The sequence below is a fragment of the Homo sapiens genome, chromosome 2, assembly GCF_000001405.40.
Source record: "Homo sapiens chromosome 2, GRCh38.p14 Primary Assembly".
NCBI classification, from domain to species: Eukaryota; Metazoa; Chordata; class Mammalia; order Primates; family Hominidae; genus Homo; species Homo sapiens.
Window position 1 is genome coordinate 10,818,753 of NC_000002.12, and position 27,816 is coordinate 10,846,568.

The 27,816-nt window shown below is 50.3% G+C and overlaps 1 protein-coding gene across 3 annotated transcripts in view, besides 4 other annotated features; it reads right to left on the reverse strand.

Annotated features, from left to right (window-relative positions):
- The window catches only part of PDIA6 (protein disulfide isomerase family A member 6), a 54,322-nt gene extending 35,362 nt beyond the window's left edge, over positions 1 to 18,960 (reverse strand). The window contains exons 1-3 of one of the 3 annotated variants that reach the window (NM_001282704.2): positions 13,450 to 13,733; positions 2,019 to 2,166; positions 522 to 602 (exon numbers count right to left, since the gene is read on the reverse strand). In NM_001282704.2, the coding sequence (NP_001269633.1) occupies positions 522 to 602; positions 2,019 to 2,112 (175 nt within the window). In that variant the 5' untranslated portion in view covers positions 2,113 to 2,166; positions 13,450 to 13,733. Of the gene's footprint in view, positions 1 to 521; positions 603 to 2,018; positions 2,167 to 13,449; positions 13,734 to 18,771 lie in introns of those variants that run through there. The other 2 variants (NM_001282705.2, NM_001282706.2) reach the window with 2 other exon arrangements.
- Positions 961 to 2,160: an enhancer, noted in NCBI's record as "BRD4-independent group 4 enhancer chr2:10959839-10961038 (GRCh37/hg19 assembly coordinates)". NCBI's record gives its function as "activates an origin of replication core promoter dependent on BRD2, P300/CBP, MED14 and CDK7 cofactors, and independent of BRD4, by STARR-seq in HCT116 cells {active_cell/tissue: HCT116}" and the evidence as "EXISTENCE:reporter gene assay evidence [ECO:0000049][PMID:35650434]".
- Positions 12,378 to 12,878: an enhancer, noted in NCBI's record as "H3K4me1 hESC enhancer chr2:10971256-10971756 (GRCh37/hg19 assembly coordinates)". NCBI's record gives its function as "activates a minimal SCP1, AML or CMV promoter by ChIP-STARR-seq in primed H9 embryonic stem cells {active_cell/tissue: H9 hESC(primed)}" and the evidence as "EXISTENCE:reporter gene assay evidence [ECO:0000049][PMID:30033119]".
- Positions 16,513 to 17,013: an enhancer, noted in NCBI's record as "H3K4me1 hESC enhancer chr2:10975391-10975891 (GRCh37/hg19 assembly coordinates)". NCBI's record gives its function as "activates a minimal SCP1, AML or CMV promoter by ChIP-STARR-seq in primed H9 embryonic stem cells {active_cell/tissue: H9 hESC(primed)}" and the evidence as "EXISTENCE:reporter gene assay evidence [ECO:0000049][PMID:30033119]".
- Positions 21,054 to 21,554: an enhancer, noted in NCBI's record as "H3K4me1 hESC enhancer chr2:10979932-10980432 (GRCh37/hg19 assembly coordinates)". NCBI's record gives its function as "activates a minimal SCP1, AML or CMV promoter by ChIP-STARR-seq in primed H9 embryonic stem cells {active_cell/tissue: H9 hESC(primed)}" and the evidence as "EXISTENCE:reporter gene assay evidence [ECO:0000049][PMID:30033119]".

A 27,816-nucleotide genomic window follows, 5' to 3' on the forward strand; every position in this document is an offset into this window, starting at 1 on the left:
CCTCAGGTGATCCACCCACCTCAGCCTCCCAAAGTGCTGGGATTATAGGCGTGAGCCACCATACCTGGCCTTTAACCATTTTTAAGTGTACAGTTCCATGGCATTAAATGCGCTCACATCGTTGTACAACCTTCATCTCCAGAGCTTTTTATCACCCCAAACTGAAACTCTATCCCCATTAAATGCCAAATCCTCATTCCCCCTCCCCCTGACCCCTGGCAACTGTCATCCTACTTTCTGTCTTTATAAATTTAACTACTCTAGACATCTCATGTAAGTAGAATCCTATAGTACTGTCCTTTTGTGAGTGATTGATTTTACTTAGCCTAACGTCTTCAAGGTCCATTCATGCTGTGGCATGTGTCAATTTCCTTCCTTCTTAAAGCAGAGTCACATTCCATCATATGACTAGACCTCATTTTGTTTATCCATCCGTCTGTTAGTGGACACTTGGGTTGTTTTCACCTTTTGGCTGTTGTGAACAGATGGAGGCTCCTACTCTGGGAGTTTCCTCTACTTACCGGGTGCATTAGCCATGGTGGTTGATGGATACATTATGGGACTTTTCCTTGATAGGGAGTGGGCAGGAGAAGTTGGTGAGCCTGAAAGTGAGAGAGAAGAGGAGATGAGTGAGGTGGGGATGGGGAAACTATTACCGAATGTTCACCATATGCCAGGCTCCACGTATTTACATCTGTGAACCTGCTAAAACTGCTTTTGTTAATCAACGAAAAGTTATAGTGCTGAAAAATCTTATTCCTGAAAAAGCACAGACTGTTATAAACTGTGCTATTTGAGATAAATAGAGTAAGAATGGAACATCCTTCTTTTGTCTGAAGGACCTGGGTCATCTTAACACTGAGAAGCTGCCTTGATTTCCAACCCAGGGCCTTCTGGACACAACATTGCACATTTGTCTTAACTTCATCATTTCCAAGGAAAGAGGAACCTCCATCCACTTCGTAGCCCAGGTCTGACCGTAATTCCTTTATACACAGTTGTGTTTTGCTTTGAGCCTATTAAACACTGCTTTATTTAAATCTTACCTACAACTTTCCCTTCTCCAACACCCTATGGTAATCCTGTTGGCTTGCTTGGTTAGAGTTGCCCCATGGGTCCTCTGAGGTGCCCTCTCTTGTTGCAGTGATCCGAGAAGCCCGCCTCTGCTGGTCTGCAGGTTTGTCCTGCTGGTCTCTATTAGATGGGGCCACCATGTGTTGTGTTTCGTTTAATCCTCACAGCAGCCCTGCAGTTAGATATGACTAGTCTCACTTTACCGAGGGAGACACTGAAGTCCAGAGGTGTTCTTGGCATAGTGAAGTGGCCTCATTGTCTGGGGTAATACCTGTGGTTCGTTGTCTCATGGTCATGGAGATTAAAGACGTGGACCCACGAAGAGTTAGGTTAAGAGCGGAAGTTTAATAGATGAAAGAGAGAGAATAGCTCTCTGTTATAGAAGGGGGTCCCGGAAAAATGGGTTGTTGATCTGTGGTTAAATGTGGGGTGTTTTATAGATGAGTCGCTGGGGAGGTGGTGTCTGATCTACAGAGGGCATGAAAAATTGATTAGGACCAGGTGTGTCATTTGTATAAGGTGTACATTTCTGGCAACCCCCACCCCAGTATTTTATTACAGGTGTGTTTTCAGTCTAAATTGTCATGTTGCCCATTTCTTTTTTACTGTACACGTGTTAACAAAGAAGGGGAAGATGGAGCTTCCATGGTGGACATGTCCAGCCCCCAGGTAGCCTCGTTTCTATAGATGTCATCGTTGGCATTCCCCTGTGTAAGTTTCTAGTTTTTCTAGTTGTCTTTGTTTATCTGTGTCTGTAGTTTGATTTTTCAGGCTATTCTTCGTTAGGAAAAAAATAATTTCTTGAGCTGTTTTTTGTTAGAAGGGAAGTTCTGTCGAGGACTCTTTTGTCCTCACTATCTGTCTAAATAATTTCTTTCTACCTCCTGTATCAGCGGCACCAGCTGGGGTGGCCCGAAGCCAGGGAGCTGGGCCAGTTCACTCACATGGCTGGAAGTCGGAGCTGATGTTGGCTGGGACCTCAACTGGGGCCAGTGGTCGGCACACCCACACAAGCTTCTCCCGGAGGTCTCTTCTCATGGATGCTGGGGGTATCTTCTCTCCTCTGGAAGCTGTGCTCTGAGAGTGAGCGTCCTAAGAGTCAGGAAGAGGAAGCTGCCACTTCAGGACCTGGGTTTGGAAACTGACCCTGGTTAAGCAGGTCGTTGGGCCCAGGACGAAGGGGAGGGGGGTGGATTCTACCTCCCAGTGAGGAGATGGCCACAGAATTTTCAGGTCGTGTTTTAAAACAGCCTTCGGAGATTTGGAATGCCCTCTTCTCACTTTTCTGTTGTTGAAATATTGCCCATCCTTTATGGCCCAGCTGAAATCCACCTCCTTCCTTCCCCCTCTCTTACCTCTCAGTTGAAATTAATCATGGCCTCATCAGCTCTTCCAAAGCTCACCCTCGTCTGTTGCTTCCAGTCTCTACCGTTGCACAGTAAGCCAGTGGAGGGCAAGATTCGGTTAATCAATTTTACCTGTGTGTAGGGAGTAACAGCGTGCCCCGACATAGGCAACAGGTACCCAGCATTTGAGTGTTAAAAAATGAATAATTGCTGTGAAGCCAAGGGGTAGAGGCAGGAGAAAGAGGGGTCAGAGGAGAGCAGTCCCCGATTTACCCAGGAGGCCTCTGGCTGTGTGGTTGGGTGTTGCCTTCTATTCAGCGGTATCTGAATTGATGCTGAGCAAACATCTAGAAAGAGGAAGCATTGTTGGAGAATTCGACAATTCAGCACTTCTCCTTCTATAGGGTTGTAAGTGTTTCTGTGAATTTAAAGATTCTATCCAAGGGCAATAATAAATGATTTTTTTTTTTGAGACAGGGTCTCATTCTGTCACCCAGACTGGAGTGCAGTGACGCAGTTATGGCTTGCTGCAGCCTTGACCCCCTAGGCTCAAGTGATCCCCCTGCCTCAGGCTCCCAAGTAATTGTGACCACAGGCACATGCTGCTATGCCCGGCTAATGTTTTATTTTTTGTAGAGACAGGACCTCACTATGTTACCCAGGCTGGTCTTGAACTCCTGGGCTCAAGTGATCCTCCCGCCTCAGCCTCTCAAAGTTTTGGGATTACAGGCTTGAGCCACCACACCCAGCCTTATATAAACGATTTTTAAAATTAAAAAAAAAATTTTTTTGAGACAGAGTCTGTTGCCCAGGCTGGAGTGCAGTGGTATGATCACGGCTTACTACAGCCTCAACCTCCTGGGCTCAAGTGATCCTCACACCTCAGCCTCCCGAGTAGCTGGGACTGCAAGCATGCACCACCATGCCTGGCTAATTTTTGTATTTTTGTAGAGATGGGGTTTCACCATGTTGTCCAGGCTTGTCTTGAACTCTTGGGCTCAAGTGATCAGCCTACCTCGGCCTGCTAGAGTGTTGAGATTACAGGCATGAGCTACTGCACCCAGCCATAAATGATTTTTATTTATTTATTTATTTATTTTGTTTTTTTGAGACAGAGTCTCGCTGTGTTGCCCAGGCTGGAGTGCAGTGGCGCGATCTAGGCTCACTGCAAGCTCCGCCTCCCGGGTTCATGCCATTCTCCTTCCTCAGCCTCCCGAGTAGCTGAGACTACAGGCGCCCGCCACGATGCCTGGCTAATTTTTTGTATTTTTAGTAGAGATGGAGTTTCACCCTGTTAGCCAGGATGGTCTCGATCTCCTGACCTCGTGATCCACCCGCCTCAGCCTCCCAAAGTGCTAGGATTACAGGCGTGAGCCACCGTGCCTGGCCTCATAAATGATTTTTAATGTAGCACTGCAAACAGGGATAAGTGGGCTCGTGCTCCTTAGTGGGACTCATTGATAAGGAGGCACTTAGTAGAGTGATAATATCTTCACCCTCTATACCATCTAATAAGTCAAACAGGTAGCTTGGGATCGGTGCAGTAGCATTTGGGTATATGTTCTGGCCTGGCTTTACTAAACAATTTGCAAGGCAAAGCTAAAACCAAAACATATGGTGGCCACTCCAAAAGTGAGGTCTGAGCCTTTGTTATGGCTGTTGCCTCTCTAGCAAGTCTGAGGAGACAAGCTGTGAGCGCAGCTTCCTGCGGACAAGACAAGGCCTCCCCTTTGTGAACCTCCCATGATGCCTGGTCTCCAGCTGCATCTTTGATATTGGCCATGGACAGTTTTTCTGTGCTGTATCCCCATGGCTTATCTGGGGCCAATCTTAGAGTACCCCAGTGTCTTCGGGGTGGTTTGTATAAATCCACTCAGGGACTAGATAGTGGTGGATCATTTGCTATGACTCCTTTCTCCAGAAGTAGAGGTGGCCTGGACAAATCACCTTGCTCATTTTTTCTTGTGTTTCAGAGGTTAGAGCTCAGATGCTAAAGAATCCAAGGGACAAATCCCAAGGGTGCAGTCTCATTGTCAGCAGCCAAGCTTTCCTGCCACAGAATGAAGCTCTCTCTTCTCCATCCACACTGGCATTTGCCACTTGGGATATAGCAGCTGCTTCTCAATTCTTTGTCAGGCCTCTAGCCTCTCACTGCTGCTAATTCATGGACTCCCAGGAGGTTACTTCTAAAACTTCTTCCAATCCTTGTTATGGCTCATATGAACTTCTGAATAAAGTGGGAGAGGGTTAAGAAGAAGGAAATAAATCTCTATTCAGTGCCTAGGTGCTCAGCGAACACTTTGTCATCTGTATCAATGACACCACCAATCCAATTGCTCAAGCCCCAAATCTCATTGGGTTCTCTTTCCATCACCAGCTCCCAACATTCTTTGGCAATTTCTGATAATTCGAGCACCAAAACATATTCAAAATCTGCTGACATTTTTCCCACTTTCTCACAATTGCCACCACCTTGGTTCCAAATGGCTATGTGGACTTTTGCAGTAGCCCCTTAGAGTCAACAATGTTAGTGCTGTACTGTAGTGGATGTTGTGGTGTGTAGCCCAGACCCACTTCAGGAGGGGACACTCACACCTCCAGTCATAGGGAGTGTTGACTGCTGTTGCTTCATGGCTCTGTCCTTCCATTGGCTAAAAAGAGCTGCTGTGCCCAAGGTTATACTCCCTCCCTGGGGGCAGCTTACATTCCATGACTGATAGATTTGGGGATACAAAGGACTGCCCTCCTTTTCTCAATTCGGGACAACCCTGAAGGCCCTTCCCAGCTTTAAGCTTCCCATGGGGGTCCACTGAGGCCCTTGTAAGCACCCACATCATGATTCAGCTTTATGATTTAGCTTCTCTTACCCAACCTTATTTTTGCCACCTCCTTGTTGGTGTCATTGCCAAGAGCACACTCCAGTAAACCTCCTGTAGGCAGATAGCCATCTCAGAGTCAAAAATGTTGGTTCCATACTGTAGTGGATGCTGTGGTATGTAGCCCAGACTCTGCTTCAGGAGGAGACACTCACACCTCCAGTCATGGGGAGTGTTGACTGCTGTTGCTTCATGGCTGTGTCCTTCCATTGGCTAAAAAGAGCTGCTGTGCCCAAGGTTATGCCCCATCCCTGGGGGCAGCTTACATTCCGTGATTACATGTCTGTGGCCGATGACACCTGTCGAGTGTTCTGCTGCCCCTCCCCATTGTGTAGCAACCCTGGGTGGATTCTAGCAGCGTTGTCCAGCTGGCAGAACTCTATCCCCCTTGCCACAGTTATTGGCTCAGGAAGGGGTTTGTCACCACAATAGCCACTAAGCCAAGTGGCCAGTGGCATTCACATGGCCACAGTGATTGTTCCAGGGTGAGCATGTGACATAAACCAATCAGAGTGAAGCTCTGGACTTTGGTCAATGGCTAGAAGAGTGGCATTTGCTTGGGCAGAAGCATGGATCCCTGTTGTCCCTGGAAACTACCCCACAAGATGAGGAAAACCCACGTGGGGATGAAGCTGAAGCGGGGCAGAGCTGAAACAGTCACGGAGAAATGGAGACAATACCTGATCAGTGTCTGAAGACTGTCCTTCAGCTGAACATTCCAGTTATTGAAATATGAAATCATCTTTATTGTTTAAGCAAGTTTGATTTGGGTTTCTAATTGGTCTTTCTATTTTCACTCTTGGTATCTGTGATGGTTAATATAGAGTGTCAACTTGATTGGATTGGAGGATGCAAAGTATTGATCCTGGGTGTGTCTGTGAGGGTGTTGCCAAAGGAGATTAACATTTGAGTCAGTGGGTTGGGAAAGGCAGACCCACCCTTAATCTGGGTGGGCACCAGCTAATCAGCTGCCAATACAGCTAGAATATGAAGCAGGTGGAAAAAAACGTGAAAAGGCCAGGCTGGCCTAGCCTCCTAGCCTACATCTTTCTCCCATGCTGGATGCTTCCTGCCCTCAAACATCAGACTCCAAGTTCTTCAGTTTTGGGACTTGGACTGGCTCTCCTTACTCCTCAGCCTGCAGATGGCCTATTTTTGGACCTTGCGATCATGTGAGTTAATATTTTAAAAACTCCTCTCTCTCTCTGTCTCTCTCTGTCTCTCTCTCTGTCTCTCTCTCTGTCTCTCTCTCTCTCTGTATATATATATCCTATTAGTTCTGTCCCTCTAGAGAATCCTGACTAATACGGTATCTTAAAATTCTTTTTCCACAAAGCAGACTCTTATGGATTCTTGAAAAAGTTTAAATTAGTTCACACTCCTCTCCCCTACTTAAAACTTTCCAATGGACAACAGAAGAGAAATAGACAATTTGGAATTCATCAAATTAAAACCTTTTGTGCTTCAAAGGGCACCATCAAGGAAGTGACAACACACAGTGTGGGATAAAATATTTGCAATGATATGTCTGGTAATGAACTAGTATCTAGAATGTATAAGGAATGATTACAACTCAATAATAAGAAGACAAAAGAACCAATTTAAAAATGCCCAAAGGATCTGAGTAGACATTTCTCCAAGGAAGACATAGAAACGGCCAATAAAGCACATGAAAAGATGCTCAGCGTCATTAGTTACCAGAGAAATGTCCATCAAAACCACAATGAGAAATAACTTCATACCCACTGGCTTGGCTAGAATCAAAGTCAGAGAATAACAAGTGTTGGTGAAGAGGTGGAGAAATTGGAACCCTCCAACACCGGCTTTTGGGAATGTAAAATGGTGCAACCACTTTAGAGAACAGTCCAACAGCTCCTCAAATAATTCAACAGTTACCATGTGATCCAGAAATTCCACTCCTAGGCATCTACCCAAGAAAATGAAACACATGTCCACACAAAACACATACAGGTATGTTTTAGCAACATTATTCATCATAATCAAAAGGCTGAAATAACTCAAATGTTCATCACCTGACGAATGGATGAACGAAAAGTGCCATGCTATACAACGGAAATATTATTCAGCTATTAAAAGGAAGGAAGCGCAGTGGCATGCCACGATATGGATTGACCTTGATGACATTATGCTAAGTGGAAGAAGCCAGACTCAAAATAACCACATGATTACTTTCATATTCAAGTTCGGAACTAGGAAGTCTATAGAGACAGAAAGTAGGTTTGTGGCTGTCTAGGGCTGGGAGTTGGGAGAGGACAGTTGCACATATCTATGAATTTACTAAAAACCATTGAATAATGGATTTTTTTTTTTATGGAGTCTCGCTCTTGTTGCCTAGGCTGGAGTGCAATGGCGCAGTCTTGGCTCACTGCAACTTCTGCCTCCTGGATTCAAGCCATTCTCCTGCCTCAGCCTCCCGAGTAGCTGGAATTACAGGCGCCTGCCACCACACCCGGCTAATTTTTGTATTTTTAGTAGAGAGGAGGTTTTGCCATGTTGGCCAGGCTGGTCTCAAACCCCTGACCTCAGGTGATCTGCTTGCCTCAGCCTCCCAAAGTGCTGGGATTACAGGCGTGAGCCGCTGTGCCAGGTCGAATTATACGCTTTAATTGGGTGAATCATATGGTGTGTGGATTATATCTCAATAAAACTGTTAAACAGACAGAACCTTTCCCAGTGGCTTCTTATAAGACATAGAAGAAAAATCTGCCCTCCTGAGCAGACCTTTAAGAGCCTGCCTCTGACGTCACCTCAAACCCCTCCCTCTTTCCCTCTGTTCATGGCAGTATTCTTTCATTTCCTCAGACACAACAGGCTGGTTCCTGCCTTCGGGCCTTGGCACGACCTGCTGCCTCCATCACTGCAGTCTCAGCTTATGTACCACCTCTTCAGGCTCTTCTCACACCAGGTGATCTGAAGTGACAGTGCCCCCGGGTGAGCAGTTCATCAAACTTGGTGTTTAGTTTCTCCTCAGAACTGATCAGAATTCATATGTGTCTGATTGATTGATTGATTGAGATGAAGTCTTGGTCTACTGCCCAGGCTGGAGTGCAATGGCACAGTCTCGGCTCACTGCAACCTCCGCCTCCCGGGTTTAAGCAATTTCCTGCCTCAACCTCCTGAGTAGCTGGGACTACAGTTATGCACCACCACACCTGGCTAATTTTTGTATTTTCAGTAGAGACGGGGTTTCACTATGTTGGCCAGGCTGGTCTCAAACTTCTGACCTCAGATGATCCGCCCTCCTCAGCCTCCCAAAGTGCTGGGATTACAGGTGTGAGCCACCGCACCCAGCCTTATTTACATATTTATTTGTTTATCATCTGTCTTCACTAGGATGAAGCCTCCATGAGGGAACAGAGGAGAACCTTCCTATGTGCTGGCAACATCTGTCTACAACAGTGTCTGCCACATACTAATAAAGTTTAGTGATTGAAAATTTAATGAAAGTGTAGGTTTTCAGAAGAAATATAAGGGCTGGATGTGGTGGCTCACACTTGTAATTCCAGCACTTTGGGAGGCTGAGGTGAGCAGATCACTTGAGGCCAGGAGTTCAAGACCAGCCTGGCCAACATGGTGAAACCTCGTCTCTACTAAAAATACAAAAATTAGTGGGATATGGAGGCACACACCTGTAATCCCAGCTACTCAGGTGGCTGAGGCAGGAGAATTACTTGAATCTGGGAGGCACAGGTTGCAGTGAGCCGAGATCACGCCACTGCACTCCAGCCTGGGTGACAGAGTACGACTCTGTCTCAAAAAAAAAAAAATTTTTTTTTTCTTGCAATTCTTTAGAACTAGAGTAAAAAAAAAGTTTGTGAAAGTTTAATCTTTTTATTTTTATTTTTTTAATGCAATGTAATAAAATTAATAGACTTCATTTAGTCTATTAGAGCAGTTTTAGGTTTACAGCAAAGTTGAGGGGGACAGTGAATTCCCCATAAAACCCCTCCCCCTGCCACACACACAGCCTTCCCCACTATCAACATCCCACACCGCAGCAGCCCGCATGTTTGTTACAATGAACCTACATTGACACCTCATTATCCCCCAGAGCCCACAGTTTACATTAGGGTTCACACTTGGTGTTGTGCATTCTATGGGTCTGGACAGATGGAGATGACACACATCTACTCTTATAGTATCAGACACAGTAGTTTCACTGTCCTAAAAATCCTCTGTGCTCCAACTATTCATTCCAACCTACCCCCAATTTGCTTTATCTGTATATCAATTTTTCAATTAAAATGTATCAGAAATTCAATGGGCAGGAAGTAGTTTCAGAGGGTGAGGAAGAGAAATAACAGGCTGCCGTTTGTCATTTCCCCTTTAAGAAGTGCAGAGTGTCGAGGCCATGGGCACAGCCTGGAGCACCCTGTTCCAGTAGGGTGTGTGCCCCCTCCACCCAGGCCCACGACCCTGAGACCAGAGGAATGCGAGGGTCTGTCTCCCGCCCTCCTTGCACCACCAGGGCCCAGGGCACTCTTCCGCCCATGCAGATGGCAGCTGGGACGAAGGGGCAGCACAGTGCCAGTCTCCTGCTAGCCTGTGCGGGGCAGGCGACACTGGGCATGGTGCAGCCTTGCTGTCTCAGTGTCCCCTACCAGCCCCCTTTGGATCATGTCTGATTCTTCTGAGGACAGGCGCTGCGAATAAAACACCTCTGAGAATTTGGGGCACAAATGTGCTACACTGGAAACCCCTGCTTTGGAGGGGGCACAAAGCCAAATGACCCCTGGCTCTGGCCCCCGGGTCACAAGTGCATGGATGTGTTCGGAAATTCCCAGGGGCACTCCGGAAGCCTGGGATGCATGACCAGCAAAGCAGGGCTTCCTCCTTGCCTGCTAGGGTGCCCGCTTCATTCACTCCAGATGCTGGTGTGGTCTGGGGACAGCTGATGTATCATCACGTTAACAGTGTTATCCCCCACCCCGTCTTCAGTGACCCAGGTCACCCTCTCTTCTGGGGTGCTGTCCAGGCACTTTCCAGGATTGCACTGGCTTCAACAGGTCTTCGTGCCCTTCTCATTCCCCAAGAGAGAATCTGCTTACCCGGTGTTGTGAAAAGGGCGATATCTGGCCTGAGCTTTTGGAGAGGCTCTGGGCTGGGAGAAGGGTTTGTGTCATGCCCACCTCCTCAGCTGTTTGTTCCCCTGATGTCCTCTCTCCCAGGGTCTCTTTTGGGCCACTCATACCCAGAATCCTGGCTCATGGACACCTCCCGCCCCCAGGCAGCTCCCAGCGCTGTTGGCTTCTTCAGCTTCAGGAGCACCCGTGCCTCACAGCCCTGTCCCCTCTCTTAGTTGAGCAGGTGGGCTCTGCCCTGCTTCTCCAGACTCTCATTTTCCTCCTTCCATTGCCTGCTATTGCCTATAATTTGGCCAAAAGCCATAATAACCAAGGGTGTTGACTTTTTGCTCTCCAATCAAAAGATCCTGTCCTTACCAGGAACTGCCCTTGTTAGAAGGCACGGTGTTGGGGGGTGGAGATTAGAAACAATTTTTCTGCCTTTCACTGAGTCAATCACCAAATCCTGCCAAATTTGAAACCTAAGTGGCATGTTCTCCTCTCCACACAAATCCTAGTTCAGGTCCCAGAATTTCTGGCCTGGGCTATTGCAACAGCCTCTTTTTTTAATTATTATTTTTAATTTTTTGTGGGTACATAGTAGGTGTACATATTGACACTGTACGTGATTACATTTCCAATCTCTTTTGGAGGTGAGCTCTGAAGTCCATCCCTGGATTCCTCTAAGGATGAGAAGTCGGGTCAAACAGTCCCTCTGACCACCTAAAAGTGGCATAAATCAAACCTCAGCTTCTCCGTGGCGGCACTGTGAAGTCCACATGCCTTCGCGAGGTGGCAGGGCTTGTCCTCTGTGCTCCCGCCATGCCCAAGTTCTTCAAGCGTGTTGCATGGAAGACTTTGCTCTCTGGCTGTCTCTGCCTAGGATGCTTCTCTGCCCCCCACTACCTTGGCTGACACTCAACCCTTAAGCCATGGCAGCCCTTCTAGGAAGCTTCCTCACCCCAGGCCCTGGGAGGTAGAGGGGCCGCTCCTGCTCCACACTGCCTCCTTGCACCCGCATGTAGAAGCAGTGCCTGTGTCTGCCCCTCCAGTGTGGGTGCGCAGCTTCAAGACAGGGGCCAGGACTGGGCTGTGTCCCAGCTCCTAGCACGGCCTGGGAAAATGAATGAATGAATGTTGGAATGAATGAACGCATCCGTGAATAATATGCTGTGGACCTCCGTGCCTATCAGTTCTCCATTTGTTTTGGCTGAATGCTTGTGTTTGAACTGGTGGAACTCAGTGAGTTTGCAAGCCTGCCTGGTTCTGGCCAGAGGGTCAAGGTTCTCTCGGGCACCTTTTCCTGCGGGCACAGCTATGGGGCAGGAGTGCGTCTGCAGGGACATGGGGTGGCACCCAGAGCCTTTGCAGGAAGCAGCAGGGCCTTTCCTCCCTGGCGGCCTGGGGAGTGCAGCCAAGGGACAAAAGAGGATTCTAAGTTGTTTTCTGGAGCTCACTCTCTCAAAAATAAAATCCAAAACCCAGCCCATGAGGGCAAAGCAATTTTGTAGGAGATACTTAAGTCTTCAGTTAAAGTGAGAAATTAGTTCAAGGAAATAGGGAGAATGTGGCCTCAGACTTAGAGCTGAACTGAACTGCCCCTCCAGGCCCTCGGGTCACCCCCTGCGCGGGCGTGGCTGTGCCCCTGGACACACGGGGACTCCACCTGCGCAGAGTGGGCTGGAGCTGAGGTCTGCCTGGTGCCACCCCCGCCGGCTGGTGGCTCAGGAGGCACACGGGGCACTTCTGTGGTCTCCTTGGGCGCTTGGCCACGTCAGCTTTTCAGAACATTCAGTTCCTCCCCACTTAGCCTCTCTGTCTCCCTCCTAGGGAGAAATGAGCTCCCTCCTGCACCGGCCCAGCCCCTCACTGTCCCTGAGCCACAGGGGCTGGCGGGGAGGGCCCTTGTGGGAGCGCAGCGGACTCCGCTCTGCTTCCAGCCGCTGGTGAGACCCCCCTTCTCTCTTTCCGGGATTCCTTGACTGCAGTGGGTTTGGGTTGGCCTCACCCTTGGCACTTGGAGCCGCAGATGAGTCTACTGTGATAGGGCGGGCGTTGATGAGCGCTGTGACCACTTGCCCCCACCTACTTAGCCTTCCCCTTGACCCCGTGGCCAGGGCTGTGGCGCTGCCCTCCTCCCGGGCCCGTGCACATTGTAGTCTACGGCACTCTCTTGACTCGGGGAAACGCAGGCTGGCTTGTTTCTGAGGGTGGCCCCCACCTGACAAAACTGCTCAGCTCACTAAGAATCAGCGGCACTGGTCACATTACTTCTCCGGCTCCTTCTCCCTGTAAGCCTCTTCTGGCATGGTGGCTGGAGCCCTCCCTTGCAGCTGCTAAGACTGCGTTTCACCCGGCAGCCCCACATCCTGGGGCAGGGGCAGGTCATCGGTCAGACCTCTGGGTAGCCTGAATGGGAGGTGTCGTCAGCTGCTGATTTGGGTGCAATAAGCAGCTTTCAGATCCAGCTACGATGTGCCCCTCGCCTCCACACCCTGCCTGGCAGACACAAGTAATCTGCTCACTGGACAGGATTGGCCTTCACTGAACACGAGTTAATTGATACCAACGTCTCCTTCATCGCGTGATTGTGTGTCTGACAGATTCTAGGGCCTGACAGGATGCAGTTTCCAAGCGGAACCCAGCTCCCGGCCGTAGTCATCCTCCTCCTCCCAGCCACCTTCCTGGACCCCTGCTGTCCTGCCTTGGGCAGCCAGTCATGGGGTGTGAATGTCCTCTCCTTCCTCTCCCCTCAAACCTCTCTCTCCTCATGTGCCAGGCTCTCTGCTGGGCGCTGAGGGCAGAGGCGGGCAAGCCAGGGTCCCCTGGAGCTATGATGGTGCCACTGCACTCCAGCCTGGGTGACAGAGCAAGACCCTGTCTCAAAAAAAAAAAAAAAAAAAAAGAGGAGAGAATTCATTTCAACAGATATTTACTGAGCACCTATGATATTCCAGGCACAATTCGAGGTGGTGGAATATGGCGGGGAGTGAAATAGACAACAATCCTGCCAGCAATGTTGAACTGGAACACACCCACCCAGCATCCCAACCCCAGGCACATACTCACCCCACGGGCGTGTGAATTCACCGAAAGGCAGGCTTAAGAATGCTCACAACAGCAGAACTGGCCAGATCCCAAACTGCAAACCGCCCAAATGCCCATCAGCAGTGGAAGGATAAATTGTGTTCTGCTCACACAGTGCAATGCAGTGCAGCCGTGAGAATGAGCAAACTGCAGCTGCAGATATCCTCGCCATCTACGCCTCACAAACACCACCTGGTGGGATTCTATTAATTCCTGTTTGAAGCACGAGGCCAGGAGACCTAACCTTGCAGCGGGCACCCTCGGTTGAGTAGTGACAGGAAGTGACCGCAAGGGGGCGCTCTGCCCTTGCTCTGCGCAGGCTGCTGCGGGGATGCGTGTGGGATTTGAGCTGTGCGCTCAGGACTCGTGCGCTTTTCTCTGTATGTGCTGTACTTAGATACAATATTTACACTAAAAAATCGGGGCTGTGGTGGACCGAAGGGCCCAGGCTCAGGCCCTGGGCTGGCTGAATCCTGCAGTCAGCATCTCCCGCCTCGGTCTTCCTTCCAGGAGGTCGGGTCCAGGGCAGAAGAGGGCGACCCCAGATGAGGCATCTCCTGAGGGGAGGGGCAGCTGGCTTGGAGGCCAGGCTGTGGCTTGCCACAGGAACAGGGTAAGGAGGCGGTGAGGATCACCTGGGCCCCCAGGGACATTTGGCGGACGCAGAAAAGGCAAGGTCGAGGCCAGCGCTGGTCCCACCCCCCGCCCCCCCAGCCACTGAGACCCGCAGAAGCCGGGACTCTGGAGGCTCCCAGAACTCCAGCCCTCTGGGGTCACTCTCCTTAAAAGGCCAAGTGATGGGTGGGAGGGAGCTCACAGATGATATTGGGGCATGGAGAAAGGCCAGGAGTCCCCATTTCCCAGAGGCAGAGCAGTCAGAAAGCATCCCCTCCCCTGCCTGGACAGGTGTCCATGTAGAGCCCAGGCTCTGTGTCAGGGACAGCCCCGCTCCCTCGACAGGCCAGTTCCGCGGAAGGGGCCCATGTCTGTGTGGCCTCTAGTCTCACTTTGGCCAGGCTGGCTCCTGCCCTCGGGCAGGCCCAGGATCTGGGGTCTTTTTCCCTGTCCGGTCCCTCTCCTCTCCCCTCCTCCGGCTCCCGCAGTTGTTAATCATCCTTTCCCGTTTGGAATTTCCCGATCAGCAGGCCTGGGAGGCAGCTTTCTCAGGCCCCCACTTTGCTGCTGTGTCTCTGAGCTTGGTGTGTCCCCACCCCCTCTGGGGGTTTTCAGTCCATCACCACAGTGGGGTAATAAGCCTCACAGCCAAGGGGAGTGGCCCCCAGAACCTCAAAAACCCACAGCGGGCTCATTCCCTGACTTCTGCCAGGTAGAGGCGGCTGGGCCCTCTCCTCAGAACATGTTTGAGCCCCTTCTCAGAAGTTTCCAGAGTGCCAGTATGGTTGGCACCAGCCTTGTAAGCCCCTATGAATAGAGACACATCCCTCTTATACCCATACACAGATTGGAACTCCCGGAGGCAGGGCCTGGATTCCAGGGCATGTACTTGCTGTATAGTGGGCTCTGCAGGGAGATGTATGAAGTTAAGTGGATGTGGACATCGAGCCTGGAAAGGTTAAATGACATCCCCAGGGCTGGAAGCCATCAAGTGTCTGGAAGTGGAGCTTGGAGCTCGAGGTGCCAAGACCCTGAAGTGGCAGCCAGTGTCTGGTTATTGGAAGCCCCAGACGCTTGTTTAGAGAAATCTTTGCCTCCTCCCAGGTCCCACCAGTGCTCTCTGTGTTTCTCTTATCTTTGGATGTTGCCACACGGAAGCGGAATTCTAAAATAATTTCCTCTCCCTTCCCCCATCCCCAGACTTCTGAAGAAGATTTAAACTGGGCATTAGGTGTTTTCTAAATACTGTTGCAAAGTCCCAACAGCTTCTACAGTGAGAGCAACGCAGATCTGGGGAAAGATCCCAGTGAATTTGTATCTTTCTTTGGGGTCTCAGCAGCAATTGCATGATTTCAAAAGGAGGCAGTGCCTCACTCTCCTTTCAGGCTGCGCTTCTGAGCAGAGACAAAAAAGGGAACCTCTCAGGCTGGATCAAAGGCGAGCCTCTTTCTATGTGGGCCACGGATGCTGCCTGCAGCAGTGTGCTTTGGAGAGAAAGACCCTCTCTGTGGAGAGGGAACATTCTGGACACGTGTGCCCTTCTCCTGTGAGGCTTCCCTCCCTCCCTGGGGCTGGCCACCCTCCCTCCCTCCTTCCACGGAGGCCTGGCCTCTCTGTGGCACTGCCCCTCACCCCTCTGGGCTGCAGTGACTCCCAGAGGTGGGATCTCATTGGTCCCTGAGCGCCTGGCAGGACTGACAGGGTGCTTAGTAAACCCTTGTGGCCTGGATGCAGGCCGAGGCTCCTGTGGCCTGGGAGGGTCCAGGTCCTTCTTTGTTATGAACACTAAGAGGCAGGTCTCCTCCCTTCCCTGCCTCAGACACACAAGGGACACTTGATGTGTTTGTGGAGTGAACTAATTTCTCTCCCTCCCTCCCTCCCTCCCTCCCTTCCTTCCCTCCTTCCTTCCTTCCTTCCTTCCTTCCTTCCTTCCTTCCTTCCGTTCTTTCTTTTGACAGAGTCTGCTCTGTTGCCCAGGATGGAGTGCAGTGGTGTGATCTTAGCTCACCGCAACCTCCGCCTCCCAAGTTCAAGAGATTCTCTTGCCTCAGCCTCCTTAGTAGCTGGGATTACAGGCACGCACCACCATGTCCGGCTAATTTTTTGTATTTTTAGTAGAGACAGGGTTTCACCATGTTGGCCAGGCTGGTCTCGAACTCCTGATCTCAAGCGATCCACCTGCCTCAGCCTCCCAAAGTGCTGGGATTACAGGCATGAGCCACTGTGCCTGGCGTAGAGTGAACTAATTTCATAGCGTGGGTTGATGAACATGAACAGGTGGGGCGGGCCTACAGCAAGGAGCAGCACCAGCGCCTGTGTGTGTACTGTGGCCGCTGCTCGGCCCCGGGCGGTGCACTTTACCTGAACCGTCCTTCCAGGCCTCCCAAGCCATCTGCAGGAAGTGCTGTTTCCATCCCAGGCCTGAGATGGTGGAAAGGCTGGGGACTCCAGGGACACAGGGCTGGCAGGCGGGTGAGGTGGGCAAGTACCCCCGGCAGTCGGGCTCCGGAGCCCGCCTTCTTGACCAGGCCGCTGGCAGTGAGCCAGCCGGGTTCCGTTTCCATCGCGGGCCTTATCCGGGGCGTATTCCTTCCAGGTGCGGCCTCCGGGGAAGCCCAGTCCCCAGCCTGGAGGTGACGAGGCCGGCGCACCCACCAGGGGTCGCTGCAGGCAAGAGCTGGAGGCCTGAAGGCAGGTGGGGCCCAGGGAGCCGGCCCGGCACACTCGGATACACAGCTTTAGGTGTGCCAGATCGGGACGATGTTTTAATAAAAGTAAAGCAGACATCTCCGACCCACGAGGAAACCCAGCCTGGGTTTGGATCCACCTCTGAGCTCCACCTTCACTCAGCTGCCAAATGGGGACAGTGGCTGTGGCCCTGTCTCCCTCATGGGACCGCCAGGGGATCCTATGAAATCACAATACTTAGAGAGGGGGCCGGGCGCGGTGGCTCACGCCTGTAACCCAGCACTTTAGGAGACCGAGGCGGGCGGATCATTTGAGGTCAGGAGTTCGAGACCTGCCTGGGCAACATAGTGAAATCCCGTCTCTACTAAAAATACAATAATTAGCTGGGCGTGGTGGCGGGCGCCTGTAATCCCAGCTACTCGGGAGGCTGAGTCAAGAGAATCACTTGAACCCGGGAAGCAGAGTTTGTAGTGAGCCAAGATCGAGCCACACTGCACTCCATCCTGGACAACAGGGCAAGACTCTGTCTCAAAAAAAAAAAAATACTTTCAGACCGTGGAGTACCTTGGTGCCTGAGATGATCCTATTGGCCTCACTAGGTGCCCGTGGGGGTGCCACCACCAGTGATGAAGGGGAAGGGAGATCAACCCCTACTTTTCCGAGGGTCTTTCCCATGTAAGAAATACAAGCTGAATCTTCCTGAAATTCAGCCACAGATCCCACACTCCCTTAAGGCACACTCAGGTCCTACGATGGCCTGCTGCAGACACTGGCAACGTCAGGCCTGGAGCATCCTTGTCTAGGATGGGTCTGGGGCTTTGGGCTCTGTGGTGTTATTTTATTATTTATTTATTTATTTATGTATCTATTTTTAGAGACGGAGTCTCACAAAGTTGCCCAGGCTGATCTCGAATTCCTGAACTCAAGCAGTCAGCCCGCTGTGGCCTCTCAAAGTGCTGAGATTAAAGGCATGAGCCACTGTGCCCGGCCTTCTGTGGTTTTAAATGAAACTTTTGCAGGCTTTTTTTTTTTTTTAATTAAGAGATCATTCGCATGCCATAGAATTCACTCTTTTAAATTGTCCAATTTGGTTGTTTTTAGCGTATTCACAAGTTTGTGTAACCCCCCCAGCAATTCCAGAACACTTCATCAGTCACCTCAAAAAGAAACCTGTGCCAATCTTCCCCTTCGCTTACCCCTGGCAACCACTGATCTACTTAACCTTTTCTTTATATTGTGTCTTTTCATTGCCGCTTGTGTTCTATGGGGATTAAAAAAAAATAGATGGCTTACTTCATGTGAGCAAGAAGGGACCTGTGTCTCAGGGTAGCAGACAGGGTTATGGGGACTCCTTGGGGTTAGAACGTGGGGTCCCATGCCTCAACCCTCTCTGATGAGCTGTGTGAGCACAGAGGAATGAGAACATCTTTCTGGCTTTTTGTCTTCTCATTCTGTTTCATTCTCATTCATGATGGTTAACAGTGATGATACTTGTCCCACTTACAGCAAGGAAATCCCACGTCTCCTAAACAACAGAACCCCAAATCTGCCTGGGCTTGATGCTGGGAGGAGAAGCTTCCAGGGGCAGCAGGATCAAGGAGCTGGCTCTGTCCCTGCCTCTGTTCTCACTGTCACCCCTCTCTGTTTCCCATGAGTGCGGCCCCCAGCAAGCTGGGCCTGTGTGCTGCTCCCATGGCGGCCACGGCCCCCTTACCCAGGACACCACCAGCCCAGCAGGGAGGGGCTGACGTCCTCACAAAGACTTACTAAATATTCAAGGAGGCGACGGGGAAAAGAGAGCACGAAACACAGCATTTAGTTCCCTGAAGAATTAGAAGCAGTTTGCAAAGATGCACTCAATATGACAAGATTAAAAAACATACGTGAGGAAATCAGAGAGGAATAAAAATGAGGGGGAGAAAAAAATAAGATGAAGCCAGGGAGAGGTTGGTATGGAAACTCCAGATGGTGATTTAAGGAGCACTTATGCAGCACACTTACCACGATCCGAGCGCCGTGCAAGTATCATCAACTCATTTGATCCTCGGGACACTTTGGAGGCAGGGGCTGTGATTATCCTCATTTTGCAGTCAGAAAAGCCCAGGCACAGAATTGCAGCTTGTTCAGGGGCTCCAAGCTTCTAGGTGGCAGAGCTGGGTCTCAAGCCTGGGCAGCCTGGTGTGCAAGTTCATGCCACCCCTGCTGCTTTTTCATGATATCACATGAACGCACTGGGGGTGGGCAGGGGAGCCCGGGCATGAGCAGAATAAGCAGGGAATATCTTTGTCATCTTGGATCTTGTTCCAGAAATCATAGGTATTTTGCATTTTTCCCCATGATGTTTCTATATTTGTGCAAGTGTGTTGAAAATTAGGTTGTGTGTGTGTGTGTGTGTGTGTGTGCGCGCGCACGCAGGCACTCTGTCTGAGCTTCAGCTGAGGCCCTGAGGGGTTCTGAAGAAAGCACAAGGTGTCAGGTAGCCCATCTCTGCCTGGGCGGTTGAGAGCTGTTCTACCAGCATGGGCCCTCACCCACTCCAGGGAGAATAAGGCAGGGTGAGAGTTTGGGGAGCTTGAGGAGGCTGGTGCAGGGACTGCTCTGGAGAGGCTGCCTGTGCACTAGTCTCTCCCAAGTCTGGGGGAGGCATTTGAGGGAACTGTCTGGATAGTTGTGTGTGTCTTTGGAATTGGAGGGACCCAGGGACTGGTGTCTGAGCCCCTAGAAAATTCTCGTGATGAGAGAATGTTGGCTAAAAGGCTGGCGTTGGGCGCTTCCTTCATTCATTCATTCATATGACCCTCAACAAACATTTACTGAATGTTTGATTGTGTGTTCTAGGTGCCAGGGATGCACCTGTGGACCACACAGATTGCCCCGTGACCTTACATTCTAGTAATGAGGGTAACAGCTTCAGAGGGACCCTGCCCATGAGTTGGGGGCAAGGGGCCTGCAGGTGAGGAGTGGGCTGCAGCGGGCTCTGATTGGGCAGCTGGAAGAGGGCCCGGGTCTGTGGCCGGATCCCTGCACTCCGCATGCCCCAAGATGGTGGACGTTTGACACCATTCATTGGTTACCTACTGTGTACATATAGTATCTGTAATCTGCGTTCTCCCTGAAGGTAGAGATTATAGCCCCACTTTGCAGAGGAAAGCAGTGGCTCAGAAAGTGCCGGGGGTGGGTGTTGAGGTCCACCCAGGGGTTCTTTTCCTCAGAGCTGGCCACTCTCTTGCCACTCTGATGAGTTTCTCTTGGTTTTCAAAAATGGAGCAGGCAGGAATGGAACCTCTCTGAGCTCCATCTTTGCTGCAATCTGACACACGTCGTGAGTTATGTCAATTTTCCAGAGGCTCCAGGCAAGAACAGCTCCTCGTGGAGACTTCTCAGGCTTATTAAGGAGTCAGATCTGGGTGGCAGCAGCAAGGAAGCAGCTCTAAGCATGTTCTGGAATCATTCATAGGCTTTTATTTTCTGAGCTGTTCCCAAGAGTGTAACCAAATGCTAATACCATTGACATTGTTTTCTTAATGATTACTTTGGCTTGTATTAGGAAACAGCTTAATTAGCATTAATTAGAGTGTTCTCTCTACAGGACACATCTCCCTCAAAGCAAGGTCTCCTTAGTTTACTCATTTGCAGGGGGAGAACTGTCACTGACTGAGGTTAAGGGTGTGGCCCAAGGACACAGGAGGTGACAAACTGGGGAACAAAGCTGTCAGTCTGTTCAGGCTGCTGTAAAAAAATCACCACAGATTGGGTGGCTTAAAAACAGCAAAAATTTATTTCTCATAGTCTGGAGGCTGGGAAATCCAAAGATGAGAGCGCCTGCGGATCTGGTGTCTGGTGAGGACCCATTTCTTGGGTCTTCTCAATGCATGCTCACACAGTGGAAGCGGCAAGGCAGCTCTCCATGGCCTCTTGTGTAAGGGCACGGATCCCGTCAACCACTTCTCAAAGACCCCACCTCCCAATACCATCACACTGGGCATTAGGATCTAATGCATGGATTTTGGGGAGACACAAACACTCAGTCTATGGCAAAAGCTCTAACCACAGCCCCTAGTCCTGTGTTCTCTACATTTGACTGTGCTGCTTCTCAGAGAGCAGGACTTATCATCAGAGAACCTTCCAGTTTCTTGCTCTTCTGCTGGAGAGGCCTGTGTGGACGTTCCCCTTGCCAGGGCCAGCCTTGTCCATCGGAGGAGTCGCACAGGGCCACCCCAGGGTTCAGTAGGAAGTGACTTCATTCAGCGGCAGGCCTGACCGTACAGCATTTTCCACAGCGTTGATGAGAAAGGACAAAGGTGCTGAAGTTTATGAAGAAAACCCACAAGATCCAGGGTTTCTTTCAGGTGGTTGTTATTTCTGAAAATCTGAATTTTTAAAATGCTGGGTATGTAATTACCGTATTCTGTAGATTTGTACTCGAATAAAGGCTGCAACATCAACAGTCAGTCAACAAATACTCGCTGAGCCCCTCCTGTGTGCCGGGCACTGTCCTTGGTGCTGGAGATGCTAGGCAGTGCCTGGTCCTGGTCTCAGGGTTTAACGCTGCCGAGGGTGGAGTGGGGAGCAGACACAGAACAGACAGCCATGACAATTCTAGGTACAGGTGCATGCGGGGAGGATAACAACAGGAGGCCATGTGACAGCGGGTGACCAGGAGGGGGCCTTAGCCAGTAGTTGGTCAGGGAACGCCTCCCCGAGGGGAGAGGCAGAGCAGAGGCTCACATGATGAGGTGGTGGCAGCAGATGCCCTGGGGGATTCAGGCCAGGTCCAAAGAGTGGCCCAAAAAAGGCCCTGGGGCGGGGATGCTGTTGGGCTCGGAGCCTAGCGAGCAAGGGGAGACGCAGGTCCAGGGTGAGTGTGGGAAGGGGCAGGGCAGAGCACCACGGGGCAGAGCGTGGATTTCACCCTGGCTGAGAAGTCTCTGGAGGGTTTTAAGCAGGGTGCTGTGGAAGGAGACTGTAGATGGATGGGCGTGGAGGCAGTGAGATGGCTTAGGGGTTGCTCTGTTGCAAAAAAAATCAGGAGGACAAGAGAGACCTCGGGGTAAAGCAGGAGATCACAGGCAGCTTGTTTCCCCCCCCCCTTTTAATTTCTATTTCTCTTTTCTTTCTTTAATATCCCACCTCAGCTGGACTGGGACAGATGAGAGTTATGGTGAGTTAAATTAGGGCCATGTGTTAGTCAGGGACTAGGCAGGAGACAGAAACCACACCGGTACTTTGAACAGGGAAAAGGTAACAGGGAAAATGACTCATCAACAAGCACAAAGGGTCTGGTATTATGGGTTGAATTGTGTCCCTGAGAAAGACATGTTGAAGTCCTAACCCCGATACCTGTGAATGTGACCTTATTTGAAAATAGGATCTTTGCAGATGTAATCAAAGGCAGGCTTTGTCCAATATGACCAGTGTCCTTGTAGGAAGAGGGACATTTGCATGCAGACACACAGGGAGAAGATGGCCATGGAATGCAGAGGGAGAGAGTGGAGTGAAGCCACTGCAAGCCATCAGTGGAAGAGGCCAGGAGGATCCCCGGGGTCTTAGAGGGAGCAGGGCACTGCTGACACCTTGATTTCAAATTTCCATCCTCCAGAACTGTGAAGAACATGTTCCTGCTGTTTTTAAGCCACTGGTTTTTAGCACTTTTGTTACAGCAGCCTCAGGACACTACTAACAGGTGAAATCTGGTGGCTGAGTGCTACAAAGGGTAGAAGAGGACTCCAGGGATCTCAGGAACAGCAGCTGCAGGAAGCGGCTGCTACCTTTAGGGCTGAGAGGGAGTCAACAATGAAGGAACTAAGACTTCCGCCCCCTCGAGTGGAGCCCCAGACCTTCAGGAGGGGATGCAGCTGCTGCTGGAACACCAAAAACTGCTGCTGGTGGGGAGATTTGCCAGCGTGGGAGCCAGAGAAGTCTAGAGGACCAGCCCAGACGGCGGCCTGAAAACTCAGAGAGAGAGAGAGAGAGAGAGTGGGCCAGAGCTACTCCACAAAAGTGGCTCGTAGGGTGTAGGGTGTGAAGTTTGCTGGAGAATGAGTGCCATCACTGCTCCTGCACACCAGCCCCACTGGCAGCTGTGCCACAGGAGGAAACGCCATGTTCTGGCAGCAGGAAGAGAAGCCCCTTCTTCTGCTGTCTTTGGGGCATCCCTCCAGAGCCCCCTGTGACAAAGCCTAACATTGCACCAGCTGACAAAGGGGAAATGTTTACAGGGCCCAGCTCCAGTATTTCAAAGCAGGGCAAAGAAGGGTGACTTCAGAGCTGGGACATAATAACATGATGACTGGCATAGCTGGTAGCAAGAAAGGGGTGGGGGAGCTTGTGTGAGCAAACAAGGCTTGGGCCTCCTCTGCAGTTGTTCATAGTTCTGTGACATTACAAAATTGCATTTAAAAAATTGTGATAGGGAGGACACCCTGCCCTGATTAATCACATAACCTGGGTTTCCCTGTTGTCATCTGTCTTGTCAATCCACATAGTGATCATCATCTTGGCTGCACAGATGAGTCAATAGAGGCGTGGAGATGTTGAATAATGAGCTTAAAGTCATGCCATTAATCAGTGGTGTCCATCTGCCTCCCAGGCCTGTGTATTTTCTATTCATCCTGCCGTCTCTCTTGTGGGGAACCAGAATGCCTGGAGGATTCTGCTCCTGAGAGCTCAGTGCTGGCTCTCACTTTGTCCTTCTTTGATGACTTGGCCCCTCTGCTGTCTCTGTGGGTCCTGGCCACAGGAGACACTGACCTCTACACTCCCAGGCCCAGGGTATACACTGGCTTGAGCACAGGTCCCTGGACCATGAATGCCCTGCCCAGCTCCAGTTTAGGAACAGCATACTGGAGCCCAAGCACACAAGGCATGCAAAAGCTCAAAAGTAGATCTCACCTCTAGGAGGGTACAGTCAGGTTTTCAATGGATTCTCTTGATTACCACTTACAAGGATTTCTACCCCTTAAACATGGAAGGATTTCTCCTTTGACGGGAAGTGAGCTTGGAGGCATTCCTGAGCACCCATTCCTGCAGAATGCCTCCTCCTTTGGCTTCTTGATAGCAGGCTAAGAAAGTATCTGGCAGGTGCAGAGACAAGCCTGCCCAATGTGGACAGGATCCAGCCAAGTGCCAGCTTGGATCAAATGTCCCATGCCCTGGGCAGGAAGAAAGATGATCTTCCTAGAGGAACCAGAACTCTCTGGCAAAAGCTCGTGAGTGTTGTAGGCCAGCTCCAGTATTCGAGGTTACAATCAGGCATCCTCTGGGGAACTTACTTCTCTTGTCAACACTAGGGCGAGAGGTGGCTGGATTTCTTTGGAGGAGCTTTGAGGATGCTTTCAGATTCTGTATTCATCAGTTCCTGTGTTTATCAATATCTACTGAACCTACTGAATGCTGGGTATTGTAGTAAGGTCTTTCATGAGTTATTTTATTTATTTATTTATTTTTCAAGACAGAGTCTCACTTACTCTGTTGCCCAGGCTGGAGTGCAGTGGTGTGATCTTGGCTCACTGCAACCTCCACCTTCTGGGTTCAAGTGATTCTCCTGCCTCAACCTCCTGAGTAGCTGGGATTACAGTTGCCCGCCACCACGTCTGGCTAATTGTTGTATTTTTAATAGAGACGGGGTTTCATTATGTTGGCCAGGCTGGTCTCATACTCCTGACCTCAGGTGATCTGCCCGCCTCAGCCTCCCAAAGTGCTGCAATTACAGGTGTGAGCCACCATGCCCAGCTTTTCATGAGTTATTTAATCTTCATGACAACTCTGTGAAGTCACCATTCTTGTCCCCCTTTTACAAATAAAGAAACTGAGGCTCTGGGAGGTTAAATAAGCACACGGCACTAGCATGGGGAGACTTGGTTCTAGCAATTTCTGGCAGTTGGCTTTTGATGGCCATTTCCTATAGGACAGGCCCTTCTCTTACCGTCCCCATGCCCTTAGAGGTTTGGCCTGTTTGTTAGGGTGTCTGTGTGCATAGGTATCCTCCTGGCCTCATTCCCAAAAGGGCTTGAGATAGTGTGTCCAAATACAAATGGGAGGAAGACCGCATACATGGACAGATCAGGGCTAAGAAAAATACAGGTAAAGTGAAAGACAAGGTCTGCAGGAACGTTCGTATGTGCATATTCAGTACAGTCAGGGCAGAGATTCCTCATCAGTTACAGTCAGGGCAGAGATTCCTCAGAGCGAAAATAGAGAAACTGATTAGTTAATGTGTTTTCTACTTTACTAGTACACGTCACTAGTACACGTCAGGTAAAATAAACCAACTAGTCCTGTATGTACACGCGTTCGTAGATCTCAAACAAAACAAAAACAAAACAAAACAGGAGGTTGAGTGGAAAGGCAGCTGAAAGGAAAGCTCAGAGAGGTGAAGTAACAGCTCGAGGTTGCAGCCATCCCTGCATTCCTTCAGGCTGCAGAGCTCCAGTAGCAGACCCAGGATTCAAATCCAAGTGTTTCTGGCTCTGGAGCTGGGCTCAAATTTAGGGCATTACTTTTTTCTTCCATTTCAAACAGGACACATATCCGACCCTCAAGAATAGGAGATAAAGCAGGCGCATAAATAGCTCCTTGTGTTCTGTCTTTCTAAGGACACAGGAGGGTGAGGCAGGCTGTGGGCAGGGCTTCAGAGCCGCGCAGGCAGGGGCATGGGTGGGCGTGGCTGCGTCTTATAGGCTGAGCCACTGGCTGTGCCCCTGAGCTGAGCTGGGTGAGTACTCTAGGCATTCCTGGCAGAGGATACAGCAGGAGCAAAGGCCTGGAGGCTAAAAATAGCTTGCGGGCAGGGGAGCTACCAGCAGTTCAGTGCTTCTGGAGTTTAAAGAGCCCGGCGAGGGTCATGTCAGATGACGCCGGTCCACGAGAAGGAGGGTGGATTATATCCTTAGAGACGCCATAGAGTGAGGATATAATGGCTCTGTAACAAGCATAAACTGTGATGGTCTGGGATGCCCTCGTCATAGACAGCCCCTGGAGAGTCGTAAGTAGAGTGTGACATAACCAGATTTGTGCTTTAGAAAGGTTGCTGGTTGCAGAGCTGGTGGGATGCGTTTTTATTTGAAAAGGTGAAACATACTCAACATAAATAATTTGGACAGTAGGAGGAGAATGGGAAGAGTATACAGTGGCAAGCAAGGTCCTTCCTCATCCTTATCCCCAAATACCCCTTCTCAGAAGCAGCGATCACTGTCACCATTTTCAGTGGTTTTTTTTTTTTTTTTTTTTAGATAGAGTCTCACTCTGTCGCCCAGGCTGGAGTGCATTGGCACGATCTCAGCTCACTGCAACGTCCGCCTCCCGGGTTCAAGTGGGTCTCCTGCCTCAGCCTCCCGGGTAGCTGGGATTACAGGCGTGTGCCCGCATGCCGGGCTAATTTTTGTATTTTTAGTAGAGACAGAGTTTTGGCACGTTGGCCAGGCTGGTCTTGAACTCCTGACCTCAGGCGATCCACCTGCCTCAGCCTCTCAAAATGCTGGGCTTACAGGCGTGAGCCATCGCACCTGACCAACCCGCTGTTTTATTCTAGAGATAGTCTGAATGTGCGTGTGTGTATGTATATATACCTCTTCCCTTTTATGCAGGTGCCATGTATTAGATACACTATTCTATACCTAGCTTTTTATTTATAGGCCTTGTAAGTCATTCTATATTGATACATAGAGCTGCCACAATGTTTTCATTGCCTGTCAAATGTTCCATGAATCTAGCAGACCGTATCAACTTCTTCCCCACAGATGGACATTGAGGTTGTTTATAATTTCTTGCATTACATTCAATGCTGCAATTCATATCCTCATGGCTAGGGATGAGTACGTGGAGTGAGTTCCCTGAAGTGGAGTTGCTGGGTCAAAGTGTATATACATTTGTAATTTTGATAAATATTGTCAAATCGTCCTCCTTAGGAGGGGAGTTCATTCTATGCACCCATTCCTGTGCATGAGGATATTTGCAGCAGAAATGCTTTGAGTCCTGGATGATGGGGCCAGGTGGATTATTGGATTGGAGGTAGGGAGAGTAAACAGTGATTACTACAAGAGTCTGGGGGAGAGATGGTGAGGGTCTTGCCTAAGGCATTCCTGGTGGTGAGTAGCCAGGAGGCGAGGATTTGGAGAACTGTATCAGGAAGGAAGGTTGCTTTGAGGTATGGGATGGGGCTGGCGGGGGGCTAGGTAGAATAGTGTGAGTGGGGAGTGGCAGGGGCAGTTGGAGGAGAGCTGGGTGGAGACACCAGCAGTTGGAGGCATGGCCTGAAGCTGGGGAGAAGCTCTAGGCTGGGGGAGCTTGGGAGGAGGTAGGAGGTGTGGCCTTGAGCTCCAAGGGGCCACCTGGTAGAGCAGCGCCGAGGGAGAGGGCTGACTGGGACTGAGCCAGGGCAAGCCAGGTGCCCGGGATGCAAACTGGGAGCAGGCCCTGCCCTGCACACCCTGGGAGCCAGGGCCTCCTGACATTTTGTTGCCTGGTTGCCTCTCTTGCCTCACCCTTGTCCCAGCCCTGGGGGAGGCAGCCTTGGGACCAGCCATGGATTAAAGGGGCTGGCTGAGGGCAGAGGCTTGAAGGGAAGGAACAAAGAGGTAAAAGAATGTGTTGAGGGGAAAGTGTCCTGGAGGGCCAGGGCATGCACTCCCAAGTTCATGGGAGAGAGGCAGGGAAGGACTAGAAAGTGTCCTCCATTAGATGTACTGATTAGGCGCCACTGACACCCTTAGTGAAGCCGTTCTAATAATGCAACAGAGGCTTGGATAGTCTCTGACTCTATGAAACAATAATAGAAAGTCAGGGTGTTTACTCATTGGTCGTATCCTAGCAACAGCGTGTTCTCAGCAAGGGTAAGTGTTCTAGAACGCGAGACCAAATTATACGAGAACATAATGTTCTAGAATGTCTGCATGCATTTGCCAGCCGATTTCTTCTCAGAGGTACTCAGGAGATGCTTGAAAATTACCCCCCTTTCCTCTGAATTTGAAGGTAGTTGATAACAAGCATTTATTATGTTAACAGAACTTAAATGCTTGGCCAGGGTCACCTCCCAGAATTCAAAGTTAG